Here is a 22,917-nt window from a genome sequence, read left to right on the forward strand (position 1 = left end):
AACTACATAACCTAAAATACATAAAGCAGACATTTCTAGTATTCTAGAAGAAATAGAAAATGCCAGAACATAGTGGGGTGCTTTCATTTACCTTACTCAGAAAATGATAGATTAATATTGGATGAAAAACAAAACAAAACCAAAAATATCACAGTACATTTTCTATGAGAAACCAATTTAAATAAAAATAGTACAGAAAGTTTAAAAATATCAGTTTGGAAAGGAAATTATATTGTAAATTGTAGAAAAAAGATTAAAATTGCGATAAATGATAAAATAAGCATTAAGTGACAAATTAAGATTTTATACATGAGTGAAGGAATATAAATATGTAAGAATGATAATTAAGAACATATGCTTTCCTAGAAATGGACTCTAAACACATACCAATTGACAGAAATTGTGATAAGAAATGTAATTAAATATTTCATACACACCTCTGAGAAACTCTTACAGAAATCAGATTAATAATTTTTTAAAATAGAAATTTTAATGACATAATTATTAACTAATAAGAAACTCTAAGAGAGGGCGGTGGAGAAATTTTCCATTATGTAAATACTAAAGTGTGTCTGGCAATCAACAGTAATAAGAAATTAAGATAAAGTAAATCATCTCTACAATGAATGTGGATGTCAAAATTAAACTGAGAAGCCAAAACATTTGCTTACATATTTGTTTTTATACAGAGAATTTCAAGAAGCATTCTGTTTCACAAAATAAGTGATACCTGTCTATTTTCTGCTAGTGCCATTTCACTTACTTATGGCTAGCTTTGTTTTTCCATGTGAAATATCCAAGCAAGGATATTTTCAGTGTTATTTTTATCAGTCTATAAATTTTTAAACACCAATGACATCCCAAACAGTATTCTAGACACTACAAAGAAAAGTTTCAAAGAAATGCTATTTTCTTAGAAATGGTTATTATTTTAAAAATTTAGTACTACTGCCGTTTTTCAGTAACAATAGACAAAAATAAAGAATTATGTCTCTGCCCATGATTTAACCATTGAATTATTATTCTTTATTTTACCTAGAGTCCTATGATATGGTGATTTGTTAGATTGATAAAGAAATTCTTCTTTCTAACTGCTTGCTTTCTCATTCTGACATCTTTTCAACAAATCGCTGTTGTTTTACATCACTTTCTATTTAAGTAGGGTTTTTTATGTTTACTCACTTATTTTCCTATTGTTCCACATACAGTTATGTAGATTCAATTGTATTATTTTTAATTGTTGTGGATACATAATAGTTATACATTTTTGAGGTTACATGTGATATTTCGATACAAGCATACATGATTCCATTCTTAAGCTACAGATTTGCACATCTGTCCTCAGCTCTGAAATGATGCCACAGATAACGTTGGGATATATCAGTTTTGGAAACATATCAGAGAGAAATGAGTACACTTATTTCCCAAATGTCACTTAAAGTGTTGTATTCAGGTCCTCAATAACTCACCAGTAATATTGCTAGGTAGTAAAAATAGTATGTACAGAAAGGCTTAGACTTGTAGTGATCCAAGGTCAGTGCAGTAGGAGTGACCCTTCCAGGGTGCAGGCAATAATTCAAACGTGAAGACAATAACAATTAAACTGATGAAGATTGGTCAGTTTTCTGTCACTGTAAGCCTATCTTTTTTATATATACTTTAAGTTCTGGGGCACATGTGCAGAATGTGCAGGTCTGTTACATAGTTATACATGTGCCATGGTGTTTTGCTGTACCCATCAACCCATCATCTATATTAGGTATTTCTCCTAATGCTATCCCTCCCCATGTCCCCCACCCCCCAACAGGCCATGGTGTGTAATGTTCCCTTCCCTGTGTCCATGTGTTCTCATTTTTCAACTCCCACTTATGAATGAGAACATGCAGGGTTTGGTTTTCTGTTTTTGTGTTAGTTTGCTTAGAATGATGGTTTCCAGCTTCACCCATGTACCTGCAAAGGACATGAACTCATCCTTTCTTATGGCTGCGCAGTATTCCATAGTGTAAATGTGCCACATTTTCTTTATCCAGTCTATCATTGATGGGCATTTTGGTTAGTTCCAAGTCTTTGCTATTGTGAACAGTGCTACAATAAACATACATATGCCTGTGCCTTTATAGTAGAATGATTTATAATACTTTGGGTATATAACCAGTAATGGGATTGCTGGGTCAAACGGTATTTCTAGTTCTAGATCCTTGAGGAAACACCACACTGTCCTCCACAATGGTTGAACTAATTTACACTCCCACCAGCAGTGTAAAAGTGTTCCTATTTCTCCACATCCTCTCCAGCATCTGTTGTTTCCTGACTTTTTAATGATTGCCATTCTAACTGGCATGAGATGGTATCTCACTGTGGTTTTGATGTGCATTTCTCTTGGTAAGAATAAGATAGTCTTTCCTCCAAAAAATGTTTTGGGTCTCAATTCTAAACAATTTTAGTTGTTGTGTATGTATAAGCATACAGTACATACACATACACACACATTTTTGTCAAATTTGCATATTTGTTATCCTTTAATGCTGTCCTTTAATAAACATTTTGTTATACATTAAAGGTCATTTGGAGAGTTTCCAGTTATACAGTTTGCCCATGCCACTTGCAGACTTTGCTGCATACATTCCTTTGAAAATTAGTATCAGGTTTTGGGCAAAGTCACCTTCTTCAACTCCTGCAGAGCTATAGGAGTTGTAGTGGGCCCTTCAAGGTATAAAATTATACATGAAGTGACCCATTAAGGGGCTAATTACACTTAAACATTTTAATAAATCAATTTATTATATTTAATTTAATTCCATTCAAATGATATTAACTAAGTGCCAGCTCTATATTAAGCTGCTGAAGACATAGCAGCAAAGACTTTGAGCTCCTTGCTCAAATTACGGATTTTAATGTTTAATGATTAGTGATGTTTAGCATTTTTTCATATGCTTGTTGGCCTTTTGTATGTCTTCTTTTGAGAAGTGTCTGTTCATGTCCTTTGCTCATTTTTTAGTGAGGCTGTTTTTTTTTTGCTTCTTAATTTGTTTCCCATAGATTATGAATATTAGAACTCATTGAATGCAGAGTTTACAAATATTTTCTCCCATTCTGTAGGTTTTGTGTTTAATCTGTTGATAACTTATTTTGCTGTAAAGAAACTTTTTCATTTAATTGGGTCCTATTTATCAATTTTTGTTTTTGTTGCAATCTGCTTGTTGAACTAATACATTTATCATTATGTATTGCCTTTTTTGTCCTTTTTGATCATTGCTTTAAAGGCTGTTTTGTCTGAAATAAGAATAGCAACCTCTACTCTTTTTTGTTTTCTGTTTGCTTGATAGCTCTTTCTCCATTCCTTTACTTTGAGCCTGTGGATGACATTGCATGTGAGACGGGTTTCTTGACGACAGCATATAGTTAGGAGTTGCATGTTTATCCAATTTGCCATGCTGCACCTTTTAAATGCGGCATTTAGAAGCAAATACTAAGGGAATTTATAACCACCAGAACAGCTTTACAGGATGTCCTCAAGGGCACGCTAAAAGTGGAAATGAAAGGTTGTTACCAGCCACCACAAAAACACACTTAAATACATAGACCACTGACACTAAAGCAACCTCACAGTCAAGTCTACATAACATCCAATTAACAACATGCTGTTAGGATCAAATCCATACAAATCAATATTACCTCTGAACATAAATGGTGTTCATAGTCTTAACGTGACTATTTAATCCCTCAGCTCTTGAATTGTTTTACTGGATTCCTTAGATACCTTGGATTGGGTTTTTAATGTTCTCCTGAATCTCAATCTTTGTTGCCATCTAGATTCTGAGTACAATGTCTATGTCATTGTAGCCATTTCAGCCTGATTAAGAATCATTCTGGAAAGTGACTGCAGTCATTTGGAGGTAGAAAGACACTTTGGCTTTTAGAGTTGCCAGAGTTCTTGCAGTAGTTCTTTCTCTTCTGTATAGGCTGATATTTTCCTTTAATCTTTAAAGTTGCTGTCCTTTTTATGGGGCTCTTTGCTTTCATATTGTTTGATGGTCCTGAGGTTTTCACTGTGGTATAAGTTGGATATAGTCAATTGGCTTCCTTTCTGAATGATTTCAGGGGGCCAAGGCTCAGCTCAGCACTCCTGTGTTGCTTCCTCTAATGCTGGGTGCCTGAGATAAGGCCTATGACTTTCTTCTCTAGCCCCTTTACCTCAAGCACTGCTGTGCTGGAGGAACCAAGGTGTTCCTGGTCTGCTGGCAACACTTTGACTGGGGTGCTGACAAAAGCACTTCATTGGGGCAGTGTCAGCAGGTTCTGTACTCGTGCATATGTTCCAGTGGCAACAGGGTGGTGGTGGGACAGCAGGATTTGTTCACACTTACAAAGTGGTTGGAGGAGACTGTGGTTGAGTGCATTTTAGCAAAGTGGTGCGAGGAGGCTTTGGGTGGCTGCAGATTGGTGGAGTCTCATCTGCAAAAGCTCTCTAACAGTTAGGTGGGATTTGCTGGTAAAAGAACTACGGTGATGTACACTGGGAAGCTCTCCAGCTGGGCATCTAAGCCTGTACTGCAGGTGGGTGTGGCAAGGCAAGGACCCTGGAAGACGCCAACAGACAGGGGGACCATCAAAACAGACTGCCCTGCTCTCACATGTGAGATAGCCCTGTTCGGTCCAAATCTAACAGTTAACAAGTGCTAAAGTCACCTAGAGGATCATGGCTTTGGATCTCTCAGATATGGTTTTTTTCCTTTCTAGGGCTGCAACCCAAAGTTTGGAATTGAGTTTGGGACAAAAGTGTCTCAAGGGATGCATGGATTCAGATGAGCCTTGCCAAATTTGCAGTCATCAGCCAGCAGGGGTCATTCCTCTGTTGCCTCCCTATCATAATGTACCTTATATTCATTATTCAATTCACCATTAATGGGTACTTAGGTTGATTCTGTGTCTTTGCTATTGTGAATAGTGCTGCAGTGAATAAATCAATGCATGTGTAGTTTTGGTAGAATGATTTATTTTCCTTTGGGTGTATATGCATTAATGGGATTGCTGAATTGAATGGTAATTCTATTAGTTTTTTGTGAAATCTCCAAACTGCTTTCCACAGTAGCTGAATTAGTTTACATTCCCACCAACAATGTAGACATATTCCCTTTCTATTCTGCCTCACCAACATCTATTTCCTGACTTTTTGATAACAGCCATTCTGACTGGTGTGAGATAATATCTTATTGTGGTTGTGATTTGCATTTCTCTGATAATTAATGATGTGATTAATTTTTCAAATGTTTTTGACCACTTATATATCTTCTTTTGAGAAGTCTCTGCCCATTTTCTTTGCTCTCATTTTCATAGAGTTATTTGACCTTTGCTTGTTGATTTTTTAGTATTCCTCGTAGAATCTGTATATCAGAACTTTGTTTAGTGCATAATTTGCAAATATTTTCTTCTCAACCTATAAAAGTCATAGAAGAAAACCTACCAAGTACTCTTCCAGATATCAGCCTTGGCAAAGATTTTATGACACACAGGGAGTACTATCAACAGAGCAAAACAGACAACCTACAGAAGTAGAGAAAATATTTATTACATTTTCAGTTTCATTACTCATTATTGGTTTGTCCAGATTATCTATTTCCTCATAGTTCAATGTAGGTAGTTTTTATGTGTCTATGAATTTATCAGTTTCTTCTAGATTTTCCAATTTGTTGGCATGTAGCTGTTCATAACAGTCTCTAAAGATTTCTTGCTTTTTTTTTTTGAGATGGAGTCTCACTCTGTTGCCAGGCTGGAGTGCAGTGGTATGACCTTGGCTCACTGCAATCTCTGCCTCCCAGGCTCAAGCCATTCTTCTGCCTCAGCCTCCCTAGTAGCTGGGATTACAGGCATGTGCCACCACACCCAGCTAATTTTTGTATTTTTAGTAGAGATGGGGTTTCACCATGTTGGCTAGGATGATCTCAATCTCCTGACCTTGTTATCTACCCATCTTGGCCTCCCAAAGTGCTGGGATTACAGGTGTGAGCCACTGCACCCAGCCCAGATTTCATGTGTTTCTATGGTCTCATTTGTTATGTCTCATTTTATTTGGGTCCTCTCTCTCTTTTTCTAAGTATAGCTAATGGCTTGTCAATTTTGTTTATCTTTTTAAAAACCAACTTGTAATTATGTTGCTCTTCTGTGTAGATTTTTGGTCTCAATTTTATTTACTTCTGTTCTGATCTTTAGTATAATGTATTTTTTCTTCTACTAATTTTTGGTTTCTTCAGTTTTTGCTGACCTCATTTCTTGAGGTGCATTATTAGGTTGTTTAATTAACATATTTCAATTTTTTAATGTGGGAATTTATTGCTACAAACTTCTCTCTTACTGTTGCTTTTGTTGTATTGCATAAATTTTAATATGTTGCATTTCCATTTTCATTTGTTTTAAGAAATTTTTAAATTTCCTTCTTAATTTCTTCATTGACCCATTGGTCATTCAGGAGAATTTTGTTTAATTTCCATGTGTTTGCATAGTTTCCAAGGTTCTTCTTTCTAGTTTTATTTCTAATTTTATTCCATTTTGGTAAGACAAGATATTTGATATAATGTCTACTTTTTGAATTTTTTGAGACTCGTTTTGTGGTTTAACATATGGTCTGTATTGGAGAATGTTCCATGTACTGATGAAAATAATGTGTATTCTGCAGCAGTTGGGTGAAATGTTCTGTAAATATCAGTTAGGCCTGATTGGTCTAGTGTGTATTAATAGTTTAACTTGGATGTTTCTTTGTTGATCATCTGAATGATCTGTCCACTACTGAGAGCAGGGTGTTGAAGTCCCTAGTATGATTGTATTGCAGTCTTTCTATCCATTTAGATCAATTAATTTTGCTGTAAATACTTGGGTGGCTTGGTGTAGGGTGCATATATATTTATCATTGTTAAGTCCTCTTGCTGAATTTACCCGTTTATCATTATATAGTAACCTTCCTTTGTTTCCTTTTACGGTCTAATACAATTATAGCTACTTTTGCTCTTTTTCGGTTGCCAGTTGCATTAAATCTCTTTCTTCATCCATTTCAGTCTATGTGTTTTTATAGGTGAAGTCAGTTTCTTATAGGCAGAATACAACAGGGTATTATTTTTGTCCATTCATCCTTCCAGTCTTTTTATTACCAAATTCAGTCTATTTACATTTATTGTTATTGATTAGTAAGGACTGAGCAATGCCATTATCTTGCTTATTTTCTTGTTATTTTATAACTCTTCTCTTCCTTTCTTCCTTTTTTATTATATTTCTTTGTGATTTTCTCTGGTAGTATGTTTTCATTTATTGCTTTTTATTTTTAGTGAATCTAGTATAGATTTTTGCATTGTGGTTACAATGAGACAAAACATCTTACAGATATTACAAGTTATTTATAAGTGATGATCACTTACCATAAATTAAAAATAAAATAATATAAACAAAGAAAAAATGAAAAAAAATCACCTGCACTTTAACTTTGTTCTTCCTGCATTTTGACTTTTTGTTATCTCAATTAATATATCTTTAAATTACCTATCTCTTGACAGTTTTCTGTAGCTTTTACTGTTTTTTATGGCTTTGTCTTGTGCACCTCATACTGGAGTTATAAGAGGATTTCATACCACAGTTGCAATGTTAGAATATTCCGGGTTTGTCTGTGTATTTACTTTTACCAGTGGGTTTTATACCTTCAAGTGTTTTCTTTTTTGCACATTAGGGGGACTTTGTTTTCTTTCAGATTAAAGAACTCTCTTTAATGTTTCTTGTAAGAAAGTCTGATGGCAGTGAATTTTCTCAGCTTTTATATGTCTGGGAAAGACTTTATGTATCCTTCATATTTAAAGAATAGCTTTTCTAGTTACAGTGTTCTTAGATGACAGTTTATTTCTTTCAGCACTTTGAATATGTCATCTCACTCCTTCCTGGCCTGTATTGTTTCCATTGAGAAGTCTGTTGACAGATGAATTAGAGTTCCTTTATATTATTTGCTTCTTTTTTCTTGTTGCTTTCAGAATCCTCTCTTGGTCCTTGACCTTTGAAATTTTGATTATTATATGCCTTGGGCAGTTTTATTTGGGTCAAATCTGTTCAGTGTTCTCTGACCTTCCTGCACCTAAATATTTATCTCTAAAGTTTTGGCATGTTTCTGTTATTATTTCTTTGAATAAACTTTCTACCTCTTGCTCTTGCTCAACACCCTCTTGAACCCCAATAATTCTTAGGTGTGGTCTTTGGAGGTAATTTTCTATATCTTGTAGATGATCTTGTACCTTCTTTTTTTTTGTATTTTTTTTTCTCCTCTGACACAGTGTATTTTCAAATTGTCTCTAAGTTCTCTGGTTTACTCTGCTCCATGCCTTCTGCTATGGAGAACAATTAACACTTTTTTTAGTTTAACAAATATATTTCTTTCTTTTTCTTTTTTTTTTTTTTTTGAGACAGAGTCTTGCACTCTTTCTTGCCCAGGCTGTAGAGCAGTGGCACAATCTCAACTGACTGCATCTCTGCCTCTCAGGTTCAAGTGATCCTCCTGCCTCAGCGTCCCCTAGTATCTGGGATTACAGGCACGTGCCACCACACCTGTCTAATTTTTGTATTTTTAGTAGAGACGGGGATTTCGCCATGTTGGCCAGGCTGGTCTCGAACTCCTAACCTCAGATGATTCCACCTGCCTCAGCCTCCCAAAGTGCTGGGATTACAGGCATGAGCCACCGTGCCTGGCCAACAGCAAATATATTTCTTAGGTCCAAGATTTCTGTTTGATTTTTTAAATCATTTCAGTCTCTTCGTTAAGTTCCTCCAATAAATTTCTGAATTGGTTTTCTGTGTTGTCTTGGATATCACTGAGTTTTCTTAAAACTGCTATTTTAAAATCTTGATCCGAGAGCTCACCTATCACTATCTCAAGGCCAGCCATTGGTTCTCTATTTGTCTGTCTGGGGAAGTTGTGGTTCCCTATTTGTTGTTGTTTCTTGTGAACATATGTTTATTTCATTGCATTGAATGATGAGTTATTTATTCCAGTCTTCTCTGTCCAGATTTTTTTTTTTTTTTTTGAGACAGAGTCTCCCTCTGTTGCCCAGGCTAGAGCAGTGGCACAATCTCAGCTTACTGCCAGCTCCACCTCCCGGGTTCATGTCATTCTCCTGCCTCAGCCTCCCGAGTAGCTGGGACCACAGGCACCTGCCACCACACCCGGCTAATTTTTTGTATTTTTAGTAGAGACGGGGTTTCACTGTGTTAGCCAGGATTGTCTCGATCTCCTGACCTTGTGATCCGCCTGCCTTGGCCTCCCGAAGTGCTGGGATTACAGGCGTTCTCTGTCCAGATTGTTTAGGTTTTTATCAAATATATTTGCTTAGAGAGTCTTTGTAATTTACCTTTTGAATTCATTTTTATTTTTCTGCCAGGTTGTCACCTTCTTTTTGGCACTCAATGCTGCCTTAAGCCCAGGTTTGTCTCAGCTCTAGTAAATGATCAGAGTACTGCTTGTCATGAATGAGAGAGGTCCTTTTGTGGATATCCAAATGTTGTGTGAAGGCTGGTTATGGATTCATATGAAGAGGATCTGTGGAACATATCTTCTATAGTATGGTACTACTGAACAGCTACTCTGATTTGATATCTCCTTTGGCTAAGTTATAGAGAAGAGTTTCCAGGGCTGGGGATGGTAGTCTCCTCTCTCCCGTTTGTCACTGGCTGTTCTTTAGAACATTTCTGTCTTGAGGCTCTTCTGATGCTTCCTGTCGGTTGAGGGAGGAACTGGTTTCTTGCCAGGAAATCCCAGATGATGGGAAGTCTGGTTGTCCACATCACTATTGCTGTTTTCAGTATAGACACCATGAGTCAGAGATAAATTTTCTGCACACTTAATGCTGGGCAGATTGAGGGGTGGGACATTGTGGGTATGGAAGTCCCATTCATTACCATCTGCTTGGAGTTCTTTGAGTTCTGAGATATTGCTGATAATCTCAGCACTGTATATTTGTGTCTGATTTTCTGTGCAGGGAGGAGTAAAGCCAACTGCCTTATATGTCATCATTTTGGGAACAAAATGGCCTATAATTTTTTTTGATGTGTTATTGAATTCAACTTGTTAGTATTTAATTATTTTTGAAAGCATATACATATATTGGCCTTGTAGTTTTTTTTTTTTTTCTTGTGATGTCTTTGTCTGATTTTGATGTAAGGGTGATGCTCACCTCATATAATAAAGTTTGGAAATATTCCCTCTACTTCTATTTTTTGGAACATTTTAAGATAGATGGGTATTAATTTTTATTTCGTTGTTTGATATAATTCAGTCATGAACTTATATGACCCTGAGCTTTCCTTGTTGGAAGGTTTTTGATTCCCACTTCAATCTCTTTATTTGTTATTTATCTTTCAGGCTTTCTATTTCTTCTTGATTTAGTCTTCAGAATGTATGTTTCTAGAATGTTAACCCTATCTTTCAGGTTATTGAAGTTTTTGGCATACTATTGTTCATAATAGTCCTCTTTGACATTCCTCATGGAACTAGAAGAAACTATTTTAATATTCATATGGAACCAACAAAGAGCCCGAATAGTCCAGGCAGTCCTAAGTAAAAAGAACAAGGCAGAAAGCATCATGCTGCCCAACTTCAAATTGCACTACAGGGCTATAGTAATCAGAACAGCGTGGTACTGGTACAGAAACAGACACATAGACAAATGGAACCGAAAAGGCAGCCTGGAAATAAGGCTGCATACCTACAACCATCTGATCTTTGACAAAGCTGACACAAACAAGCAGTGGGGACAGGACTCCCTATTCACTAAATGGTGCAGTGATAACTGACTAGCCATATACAGAAAGCAGAAACTGGACCCCTTCCTTTCACCATATATAAAAATCAACTCGTGATGGATTAAATACTTAAATGTAAAACCAAAACTATATTAAAAAAAAACTCTGGAAGACATCCTAGGCAATACCTTTTTGGACATAGGCCCTGGCAAAGATTTCATGACTAAGACACCGAAAACAATTGCAACAAAAGCAAAAATTGACAAATATAAACTAATTAAACTAAATAGTTTCTACATATCAAAATAAACTATCAAAAGAGTAAACATCCTATAGAAATGGGAGAAAATATTTGCAAACTATGAATCTGACAAAGGTGTAATATCTAGCATTTATAAGTAACTTAAACAATTTTACAAGAAAAAACTAAACAACCCCATTGAGAAGTGGACACAGACATAAACAGAAAATTGTCAAAAGAAGACACAGATGCAGCCAACAAGCATATGAAAAAAGTTCAGTATCACTGATCATTAGTGAAACGGAAATCAAAACCACAATGAAATATCATTTCACACCAGTCAGAATGGTTATTATGAAAAAATAAAAAAAATAACAGATGCTGGTGAGGTTGCAGATAAAAGAGTGTGTATACACTGTTGGCAGGAATGTAAATTAGTTCAACTGTTGTGAAAAGCTGTGTGGTGATTCCTCAAACAGCTAAAATCAGAACTACCATCCCACTCAGCAATCCCATTCTTGGGTATATACCCAGCAGAATATAAATCATTCTGTTATAAAGACAGAAGCATGCATATATTCATAGCAGCACTGTTCACAATAGCAAAGACATGTAATCACTCTAAATGCCCATCAATAGAAGGCTTGTAAAGAAAATGTGGTACATATACACCATGGAATACTATGAAGCTATAGAAAAGAACAAGATCATGTTCTTTGCAGGAACGTGGATGGAGCTAGAAGCCATTATTTTTAGCAAACTCATACAAGAACAGACAACCAAAATACTGATGTTCTCACTCATACGTGGGAGCTAAGTGGTCGGAACACATGGATACAAAGAGGAGAACGGACACCATGGCCTACCAGAAGGTTGAGGGTGGGAGCATAGAGAAGAGCAGAAAAACTAATTATTGGGTACTAGGCTTAGGAACCTGCTGATGAAGCAATCTGTACATCAAACCTCCATGACAATAGTTTACCTAGCTAACAACCTGCACATGTACCCCTGAACCCAACATGGAAGTTAAAAAAAAATCATGTTGTATGTCTTAAGTATATACAAGAAAAATAGCTTAATAACAAAATGAAATAACAACAAAAACAGCATTTAGCTTAGGTCTTGGTATTTCATGAAATATCATGATATTTCATGATATTTTTATTTATTCATAAATAAAAGTATTTCATGATTTTTTTACATATAAAATATTTTGTTTCTCATTTTTATTAGCAGTTTCAATGTACTTTTTCTTAACTGAGTTTGAGATAGTTTGTGAAGAAGCAAAATTCACTTATTAAGTAGATGGCGAAAGCACCACAGTCCCAGAGGAAAACACTTTCTTCCTGAAATCTTACTTCTAACAGAGTAGCATTGTTATAAGGCATGTCTTTGAGAGGTACATTGGAAAGTGCCTCTGTGGAAAAGTACTTTTTTTTCAGTGTCAACAAAAGTTTGACTGATTTTTCTCTGTTGGGCAGGTGGACTATCTTTGCATAGTATGTTAACTCCAGAGCTGTTTTCTTGTGATAAGTGTATACTTTCTAAAAACTGAAGCCAAAGTTGATGAAAACGATGAGAAATAAAATATCATTCCAGTGTCAATATCTAAAGGCACATCCTTCATCAGAATTATATTTTAAATATCCATGAAGAAAAATATAGAGACTTACATATGTATGGATAAGAAGTTCTGATTCATCCAGTATTGATTGGATGCTCATATAGCAAGTAAAACAGCTTATTGGCAAATATAACAAGTGGTTTTCTTTTTAATCTCTAACATGCTGTTCTTAGCAGAATTAACTGTCGTCCTATCAGAATGTCATTGAATCATATAAAAGCAACCTTGTTTGTAGTGTGTCACATGGAAAACCTCTTAAACGTCCAAAAAGAATGTTTCTAAAAAATGTTTAAAGACTTCTCAAATACATAAATGTTGTATGAAGGAAAATATTAGACCATATGTGATTTACTTTGTAAGTCTGGAAATGGTTATTGTAGTTGTTCTAAAATTGCTTTTCTAAAAAGCTGCTTTTTACGTAGACTGTGAACTCCTTATGAATCAGAACCGTATGGTTGGTTCACCACTTTATCCCTGCCTCTAGTTGCCTACAACTTGATAGGCAAATAATATAATACATGTTTTGGGGAAATTAATGAAAAGTCAAAATAAAAAAGTAAAATAATGATTAATATATACTGAATGAGGTATCTCTGAAAAAAATATATATATATCTGAGTTCTACACTGTAGAATTCATTTTTATTCTACCTTGTGATTGACAAGCACAGGTTTTAGTAACACATAGTCCTTCTACATATGTCCTGTACTGCAACATAGCAGGTAAGAATGTGGTGTGAGCCAGCCTTGCTAAGCGGGTCATTACTGAGAGCAGGTCTGATCTAAGCTTTTGTTATCACTTCTGCAAAACAAATCTTTCTGTGGAGATGTTAGATAAGTGTTTCCTAGGAATCACATTTCCGTATCATTTGAGTTCAAATGACAAAGAGCAATTACATCTATTCTCTGTATCCCAGTTCAAAATACATGGAAGAATTCAAACTTGCGTCACATGTCTCCTACTAATTGAAGGCTTGGGAGAGGGCCTAGCAAAGCACTGCACACAGGCCAAACCCAGCTTTCTGCTGCCTTTTATAAATAACAATCTGTTGGAAAACAACCGCACATATTTACACATTTTCCCTGGCTACTATACACTACCATGACAGAGTTGAGGAGTTATGACAGAGAAGATATCACCCACACAGACTAAAAGATTCAGTAGCTGGCCCTTTGCAGAAAAAGTATGTCAATCCTTGGCTTTAGATTTCATAGAACAATTGTGTCTCTGTGTGGAAGAAGGGCAGTTTTCAGAGTAAAACACTGAATAGATATCCCATTAAGCACCTTGTATAGTTGGTGAGGGTTCTTTGTTGTATGACCAGCAATCCAAATCAGACTTCAAGGGGAACAAGCTACTGATATCCTAAGGAGGTTTTGTGGGTAGTGGGGGCTTAAGACACACCACAAACAACATTTTATACTGTGGTGATGTCAGAACCACCACAGTAATACAGTGAAGTCTATTATTTTAGGTGGCCGAAGGGATTTGGGATTGGACTTTAGCTGCTGACTGGAGGTGAAAACAGAATCAAGACTTAACAGAGGAGAAAAATAAGAGCTATGCAGTGGTTCCTAGCGAAGGGGTTCAGGACATATGAAAGATTCTTAAAACTAAGATTTAATTAAAGAAACAAGCACAAAATATCATCATATGGACCTTAAAAATGTATTAGATGTTAGGAAACAAGACAACAAATGTTTGGCACATGGATACTCAGGGCACACAACAGTTGGATAACCGCCTTAGGACAGAAAAGGTAAACTCAGGTTGCTCTGGCTGGTGAGTTTTAGTTCTTGGAAATACCTGCTTACGAAATTATTCTGAAACTGCATGGTGACCCTATGATGGTTCCATGTCTCCGCCACTGAAAATATCTTGGAGAATGCAAGGAAAGAGGATTGTATATTACAAAAAGAAAAACTAATAAAAACGAGACATGGATGACGAGTAGATTCAATGTATTAAAATCAAGTGTCTATTTTTAGTTCAGATTTTCTGAGTTGCTGAACCTAAAGATTAGATTTTTTTCACTTACTTGCTTGGTTAAAAATCACAGAGTTTGAATCTATTGGGCAAGTGCCCTGGCTGGCTATGAATTTAGAAGGGTTGGTAAGAGAGACATATATTCAGAAGGACAGTGTCTATGTGGTGTCCCAAGACAAGAAAAGAACACACTGTGTTCTAAGGGCAAACACTGATTGTACTTATAAAAGGAACAAGGCATGAATGAAAGCCTTCTGTGCAAATCGTTATAGTTGCATAAAAAGGAGTGATTGTGACAAAAGTAAATAAATAAAAAATAATCGCTATAAAGTGTTTTAACAGTGTAAATCAAGAGAATAAAAAGGTAGAGGGGATTTCACAGAATCATTTCTCTAAGCAACACTCCTTTTATCTTTGATGTCTCTTCTGTACCCAAGATACTTTCAAACCTGGAAAGAATCACAGGTTAGTGGAAAGGAAGAATTAGTGGAAAGGCTTCATAAATCCAGTTGCTCTTATCTCATTTTACAGAGGAAGAGACTGAGGGCTACAGAGGTGAATTATCCTGCTTAACATCACAGCTTCCTCTTTCCAACTGCAATGTTATTTGTACTTTCTGTGTTCCAATTACTCAGGGGTTTTGTCTCTAGGTTTTCTCATATTTCAATTGTTAATTTGCATTTTTATAGGCTGTGGAGAAAAAGGCACAGTGGCTACTGGCTTCTAGGGTCAGAAATTTCCATAAACCAGCCCCTAATCCTGCCTAAATTTGCTGGCCTCTCTAATTACCTATCTGCCTCTTGCTTTATGCTATGATTTGTGCTTTTGTGTCTGAAGCCACTGCTACCTAGTTTTGTTGACATAGTTTTGGATATGGTAACTCAGTGTACATGGTTCTCCTTCTCAACTAACCTTTCATATATGGAAATCCAGAACAGACTTTTTAATTTATAATTGATCCCAGACCTTGAGTATTCTTGCCTTTGGTATCAATTTTGTTTCTTGGAGAATTTATAATAAGCGTCCCATCCCCACACTGAGTTTGACAGATCTTCTGTGTGCTGAGACAAAGATTAGGATTAACCATAAATGATGACCCATTCTTCTGAATTCTAGATTCTCACTTGCCTACTATGTGCACAATGTAGTGCTGATACGTTCCTAGAATAGGGCTTGTGGTTGACCAAAATAACCAATTAACCTTAGCTCATTATATTCTGGAAGACTTTAGAAATGATCTAATGCATATAAATTTCCTGGTATAGAGTAGGGCTTCTCAATATTGGCACTATTGGTATTTTTGTTTGTATAATCCTTTGTTGTGGGGTGCTGTCCTGGGTTTAGCAGCATCTTGACCTCTATGCACTAAATGCCAGTAACACCTCACCCCATTATGACGATAAAAAAAGTCTCCAAATTATTAAAATTTCGCAGAGGATAAAACTGTCCTTTAATGAATATCACTAGTATAGACTATGGCACATAGGCAGTACAAAATAATTAGCTATATTTTTACCCAAATATAAATAAATTTTATATAAATAATTTTTTGTGTAATTTTTAAATTTTTTCTTTTTATTTATAATTTTAGACTCGGGATACATGTGCGGATTTGTTATATACATATATTGCATGATGCCAAGGTTTGGGCTCCTCATGTTTCTGTTGCCCATGTAATGAACATGGTATCCAATAAGTAGTTTTTCAACTCTTTTCCTTCTCTCTACTTCCCCACTTTTGGAATCCCAGTGTTTATTGTTCCCATCTTTGTGCCTGTGTGTACTCAATGTTTAACTTCAACTTAGTAAGAACATGTAGTATTTGGTTTTCTGTTTCTGCGTTAACTCACTTAGGATAATGGCTTCCAGCTGCATCCATATTGCTGCAAATAATGTCACTTTGTTGTTTCTTATGGCTGCGTAGTATTCCATGGTGTACACCTACCACATTTTCTTTCTTTTCACTGTTACAATAATTTATCTTGTATTTTACAGAAATCTATGAACAATTTTTAAAAAGCACTTCCTTATCCGGTATTGCATTCTTCTGGCAGCTGTCAAGTAGGCAATAAGTGTGTCAACAGCTTGAACAACAGCATCTTGCAAGGATATCAGACCAACGAACCACTCACCAAAGAACTTGGCACCTTTTTAATCTTGTTTTTAGTGCAAGGGTATATCCACTCTGATGGCAATCCTGTCCAGGCAAATCTTCACAGCATGCTTTGCAAAATCAGTGATTAGCAAATTAGTTAGCTTTGGCGCAGAGCTGTGTTCACTTGCCCATGACAACCTGGAAGCTGATTTTGATGCTGGCAATAGAATCTCTAGAATGACACATTTCTCTTTGTAAAAAGTAGAGTTGGATGTGCTTCTACAGGATTGTGTTCCATGTTCGGCGTGTGTGACAAGTAATGAATTCATTGATGTGTCTTCTAAGACAATCTTTATCTGTTTCTTTTGTAATCTTCCTTTGATTACAAGTTGGTTATTACCACCTACAGAACCATTTGTACCCAGTTCACCCAACAAAAATGCAGGGAGGTGTCTGGGGAGACAATACGTTTGTTTATAGAAATCTGTAAAGTTGACAAAAGAAGTTTCCTTGGTTCCTACTCAGACGACATAAGGAGGTTTTGTGACAAATTTCCTTTTCTCTCCAGAAACCATAACTGCATTGTCCCTACATGATGTGGAACACTCTATTCAGTAGCTTCTCATATGTGTAGTCTCTTTCTAAGCTTGCCCAAATAGAGCCTGTCTGATTACTGAATGAGATAACATCGTCTTTTTTTGCTGTCTTTTATCTTTTAGGCTTCATCTTTCTCTAGTAATTTATTCTCATCTGTGAACCTGAAATTCCTCTTTTCCTTCTTTTTATCGACAAACATAATGTCAAGGTCATCCCCTGGTTCAGCTGGTTCTTAAATATCACTTTCAGTCTTAAGAACCTTTACATCTTCTTCACCTCCATCAATATGAAGTATCTTTTTTGTTTTTCTCTTCTTTTTCTTTTGATTAAAGAAGATCAAGTCATCTGGATCATCATAAGCATCTCTTTTCCTATTGTCCTCTTCATCAGCTTCCAAATCTTTGTCTTCAGTTGGCTCTGGCTCCATTTCTTTTATTTTTGAGGGTTAGCTTTCCTCTGTTTAGGTATCCCCACCCTCATCTAACATAAATGACTTCTTTTTCTTCCTGCTCATAGTAGGATCAAAAATCATCTTGTCCCCAGATGTGGCTGTAGTTTGAGTGCGCTCGGCACGAATGGGAAGTCAGACAGGTCAGCCCCAGGCCTTGGCAGCAGCTCTGCTCCCATTGGTATCTCTCCCACTGCCACACTAGGCTCTTGCATCAGTGAAAGGGCTGCATTTTCTTTATCCAGTACACCATTGATGGGCACCTGGGTGGATTCCATATCTTTGCTATTGTAAATAGTGCTGTAATAATCATACAAGTGCTGGTGGTTTTTTTTTTTTTCAGTAGGACAATTTATTTTCCTTTGGGAGTATAACCAGTAGTAAGATTGCTGGATCAATGGTAATACTATTTTTAGTTCTTTGAGAAATCTCCAAACTGTTCTCTAGAGGGCCAAATATACATTCCCACCAATAGTGTATAAGTGTTTCCTTTCTTCTGCCACCTTGCCAGCATTTGTTATTTTTTGACTTTTTAATAGCCATTCTGACTGGTGTGAGATGGTGTTTTATGGTGGTTTTGATCTGTATCTTTATGAAGATTAGTGATTCAAAGCATTTTTAAATGTTGGTGGGCCACTTGTGTGTCTTCTTTTGAGAAGTGTTTGTTCATGTCTTGTGCCCACATTTTAATGGAGTTATTTGTTTTTACTTGTTAAGTTTCCTTTTTTTAACTTTTAGGTTTAAGGATACAACTGCAGGTTTGTTATATAGGTAAATTGTGTGTCTCAGGGATTAGATGGACAGATTATTTCATCACCAGTGTAATTAGGCATAGTAACCAATAAACAGTTTTCTGATCCTCTCCCTTCTCACATCCTCCTCCCTCAAAAAGGCCCTAGTGTCTGTTGTTCCCTTCTTTGTGTCCATGTGTATTTAATATTTAGTTCCTACTGATAAGCGAGAACATGTGGTATTTGCTTTTCTGTTCCCGCATTAGTTTGGTTGAGATTATGGCCTCTAGCTGTATCATTGTTGCTGCAAAGGACTTGATCTCATTCACTCTTATGGCTGTGTACTGTTCTATGGCATATATACACACATACACACGCACACATATACATTTTATATATATACACATATACTATGTGTGTGTGTGTGTGTGTGTATATATATATATATGGCACATTTTCTTTATCCAGTCTACCTTTGATGGGTATATAGGTTAAATTCATGATGCTGCTATTGTGAATAGCACTCTGATTAATTTTTGCTGAAAATATTTTCTTCCATTCTGTAGGTTGTCTGTTTACTCTGTTTTTTCATTTTTGCTACCTGGATCCAGCAGCTGTTCTTTTCTGATGTATGGTCTTCATTTTATCCACTGTTATTCTATTAACTACCTCTTACTTTATTAAACAATAATTTCTGGCTTATTTTAGACTAAGTGTTATTGCTTGTGTCTTGCAAACAAAAACCCTAATTAATACAAAAATTGATTATGAGGTAAGAGATCTTCAGGAAAATGCTGAATTTATTCCTGGCTGGGATAAGATGAAATGCATGACCCGAGATGAAAAAACAAAAAGAAGATTGCTTCTGATGGCATAGAATAATATATAATGAGAGAAGAAAAACTAAAAACACATACATTATTTTCTCAAGGTCCAAAAGGAAATCCCCAGCCTTTTGAGGATATATTTGAAAATACTAAAATAATTTCTTAGACCTTATGACCCTGGGCTAAGATCAGTAAACAACAACAAAAACAAATTAATATACCAGCACCACTGCCACCACCAAAGAAAATAATTCTCTGGGATGCTGGGTTAAAAAATCATGTGAATTTGTCAGACCTAATGTGAAAGTTCATACATTAATTAACAGAGAAGCAAATTACAGTAATATGACAGGGGTTATAAGAAGATGCATGAATTTGTATTACCTCAAACTCATAAACCCCAGAAACCCTTGGTGAGGTTTTTTCACACTTGCAGAAAACAATTCATGCATTTCTTCTTGCCTCAATCCTCATATTAGGCCAGTATTCAGATTCCAAATTCATCATGTTCTAGAGGTTAAAATGCTACCTGAGAAGAAAAAACAAATAGAAAGATTGCAGGGATTTGCTAATTTTATCACTCAAAACCTGATGAGTATTTGTAGAAATGGATTTTGAGTTTGCAGAAATATGGAAGTGAGGAATAAAACTTTAGCTCAGGTTGAATTTTCTCATAATGGTGAACTAATCAGAGACTTTGGCCATTATGTCTTCATGTAAATCTTAATCTAAGATTGTTGGATTTATATATCAGCTGGGTCTATCTCACTTATTTCTTCATTATATCCCTCCAGAAATTTCAGAAGTTGTTCTTTTCAAAAAGTTTTAGGGATAGGTTAATTAAGGAAAATATAGTATTATTTAAAAGGAGGAAAAAATAAGAAAACATGTTTTATTGGTTGCTCTCTTTCCACTAAGAATGAGTTAGAAAGGATTTAAAATTTCATCTCAGTGAGATTGGGAGGATCACAGGAGGTTGAGCCAAGAAATGATAAAAGTGTATGTGACTGTTATAATAGGCAGCAGAATAGGTGGGTATTAGAAATCCCTTACACCAATAAAGATCTCTACCTATGGTTAATTATTATGGGGTTCTTAGGAATAAAATAAATGTTTCTCCAAGGTCTTACCTGATTTACAAAAGCAAGACACTCCAGATGTGGCAGACAAAAGAACAGAGAGCAACCTGAGAATCATGGATCCGCAACCGTATTTTAAACTTGAGTCAGTTTATCAACCCAAGGGCCTTGAACATAGACAGGATTACCTATCTTGGGTAGGGTGGACCCCATTTGACATCACAGATAAACACAGTGAACTCATCCCTAGTCTTTTTGAAAGAAGCCTAGAGCAATTTGGGCAACTGTGCTCTAAGAAAATCAGTTTATTCATCTGTAAAATGATATAATTATGGTAGCTAACCTACAAATTGTTGTATTTAGGAAAATAAAATGCCTAAAACGTATAGAGAATAATACCTAGTACATACTAAGTACTTAATAATGTTAGCTATTATTATTATTAAATGCAAGTTCTTACAACACTTATCCCCAGGAAATATGCCATACTTGTATTTTACGGATTCTGTTGTTAGCTGTTGTGAACAGTAGTTATTTAAGCTATTCAGACAAATAAGAGGTCATCAGGTGTGACTGTATAAGGTAATCTGAAGCACCAAAGTAGAACAGTGTGAAAGTTGTCAGTCATGGAAGTTTTTAAAAGTCCTTCAATTTGTCCCCTGTTTAATCAGATATCTAATTTCCTTGAACTTGCGATTGGCTCTGTAGGTAAGGCTTGGCCACAGACCCCTGACTTTGAGCAAGAGGTACTCTTCTTTCTCTAAAATTTAGTAGTGCCTTAGACATACTCCTTATATCATTGATTGCATTGCATTGTAGTTTGTTGATCCTGTGTATTCTTACCCTGAAGAAGAACTCCTTATGAGACAAGGGAAAATATTATAGTACACTTGGTGGCAGGAAATTGGGACAAAAGTCTGCAGTCTTCCATTTAATAACCATTGCATTTTACCCCCTAGGTAGCATTTTTTCTGATTTTTCAAGCCATATAACCAAAATTCGTGTCTGTTATTACACTATTATATGGTAAAATGGTAGGAGTGTGGAGCGTAGGGTCAATCTTCCTGAATATAAAACCCAGGTTCACCATGAATGACCAGGTGAGCTATCAACATTCTCAGTGTCTCTGTTTTCTTCTTTCTAATATAGCATTGATATGAAAATTAAGTAGATCAATTCACATAAATCATTAAAGCAGTACCTGACACATACTAATGGCTCAGCATATTTTAAATTGCTACTGAAATATTCAAATAAAAAATCATAAATATGCTTCATTCACTGTTAATACAGATATTTGTTACTAGTATGAATTGTTTTACAATGTGTAAACAAATGAATGAATTAATTAATGAATAACTTTTTTTCTAAATATCTGATGTGTGTTGATTCACATTGTTTTTTTTTAACTTGAGAAGACTGGAGTATTAAAAGGTCACTTCTGATTTCACTACTATTTATTTTTAAGACTTACATGTGAGCTAGAACTTCACATTTGGAGAAAATACAAGACAATTACATGTAACCTCAAAAGATTGCCGTCCCTCAAGGTGTCCTTGACCTTGGCCATGCTGAGTCTTTGTTTATAAAAAGGAAGAACTGGTCCTTTCCTCACCATTTGCTCTCCTACAACGACTATGACTGCCTGTTCCCATAGTTCTGAGCAGGAAACGTTACTTCTCTATGCCTTCATATAGTTGAATGCAAAGGCTTTTCTTCCTTAAAAAATATAACATTTGTTTAAAATGCCTGCTGTCTTAGAGATAAATTTAACGTTCCAGTGAAAGTGTCCTTGCATATTAATATTTCTAAAATAATTATTCCTTAAAAAGCTCTAATTTATATTCTTGAAGACTGCATAATTTTTAACATTTGCAATATAACACTAAAATTGTGTTCTATATTCAACTTAAATAACTTTTTATGTTTTATTTCATGGTTTTATATAGTGTCTTACTGACATTTGCTATCCATATTTGAAATCTTATATTATTGCTGGTTTAATAGAGTGCATCTATAAAATAGTATACAAGATTGAACACTTACCATAAATCTCAAGAAGTTGGAGGAGGAAATGGCTCCAAACTATAATGTTTTAAAATGGCTTAGTGAAGCAGAAATTTCACTACATTTCTTTTGCTAGAAAACTGTTGCTGCAAAAACCAGCACTTAGAAAAGCAAGTAGAACTAGACATTTGTAATTAATAGTCAATTTTGAAAGAATTAAGAGCACTGTTGTTTCAGGTGAAGTACTTTGAAATGTAATTATATCTCCTTCTATTGGAAATTGTGATATAAATGTTCCAATTAAATTTAATTGATTTTACTTCTATTAAAAAAATCAGATATATAATTAATTATGTTATAGACTTAATATAGCCATGAGACCATATTATGTATCTGTATTCTCTCTCTCTCTCAAATGCTTTCTTAACAGTATTTTTTATTAGTATATAAAAGTATTTTTATGACTCATATCAATAAAATCAAGAAAAATCACTAAAAATTTCATAAAGTGAAAGAAAA

General features: G+C 35.4%; 1 pseudogene; it reads right to left on the bottom strand.

The window, feature by feature from the left end:
- Positions 1–16,665: 16,665 nt before the first annotated feature.
- EIF2S2P7 (eukaryotic translation initiation factor 2 subunit 2 beta pseudogene 7) lies at positions 16,666–17,979 on the bottom strand (annotated as a pseudogene).

The sequence above is a fragment of the Homo sapiens genome, chromosome 2 (genome assembly GCF_000001405.40).
Source record: "Homo sapiens chromosome 2, GRCh38.p14 Primary Assembly".
NCBI lineage: Eukaryota > Metazoa > Chordata > Mammalia > Primates > Hominidae > Homo > Homo sapiens.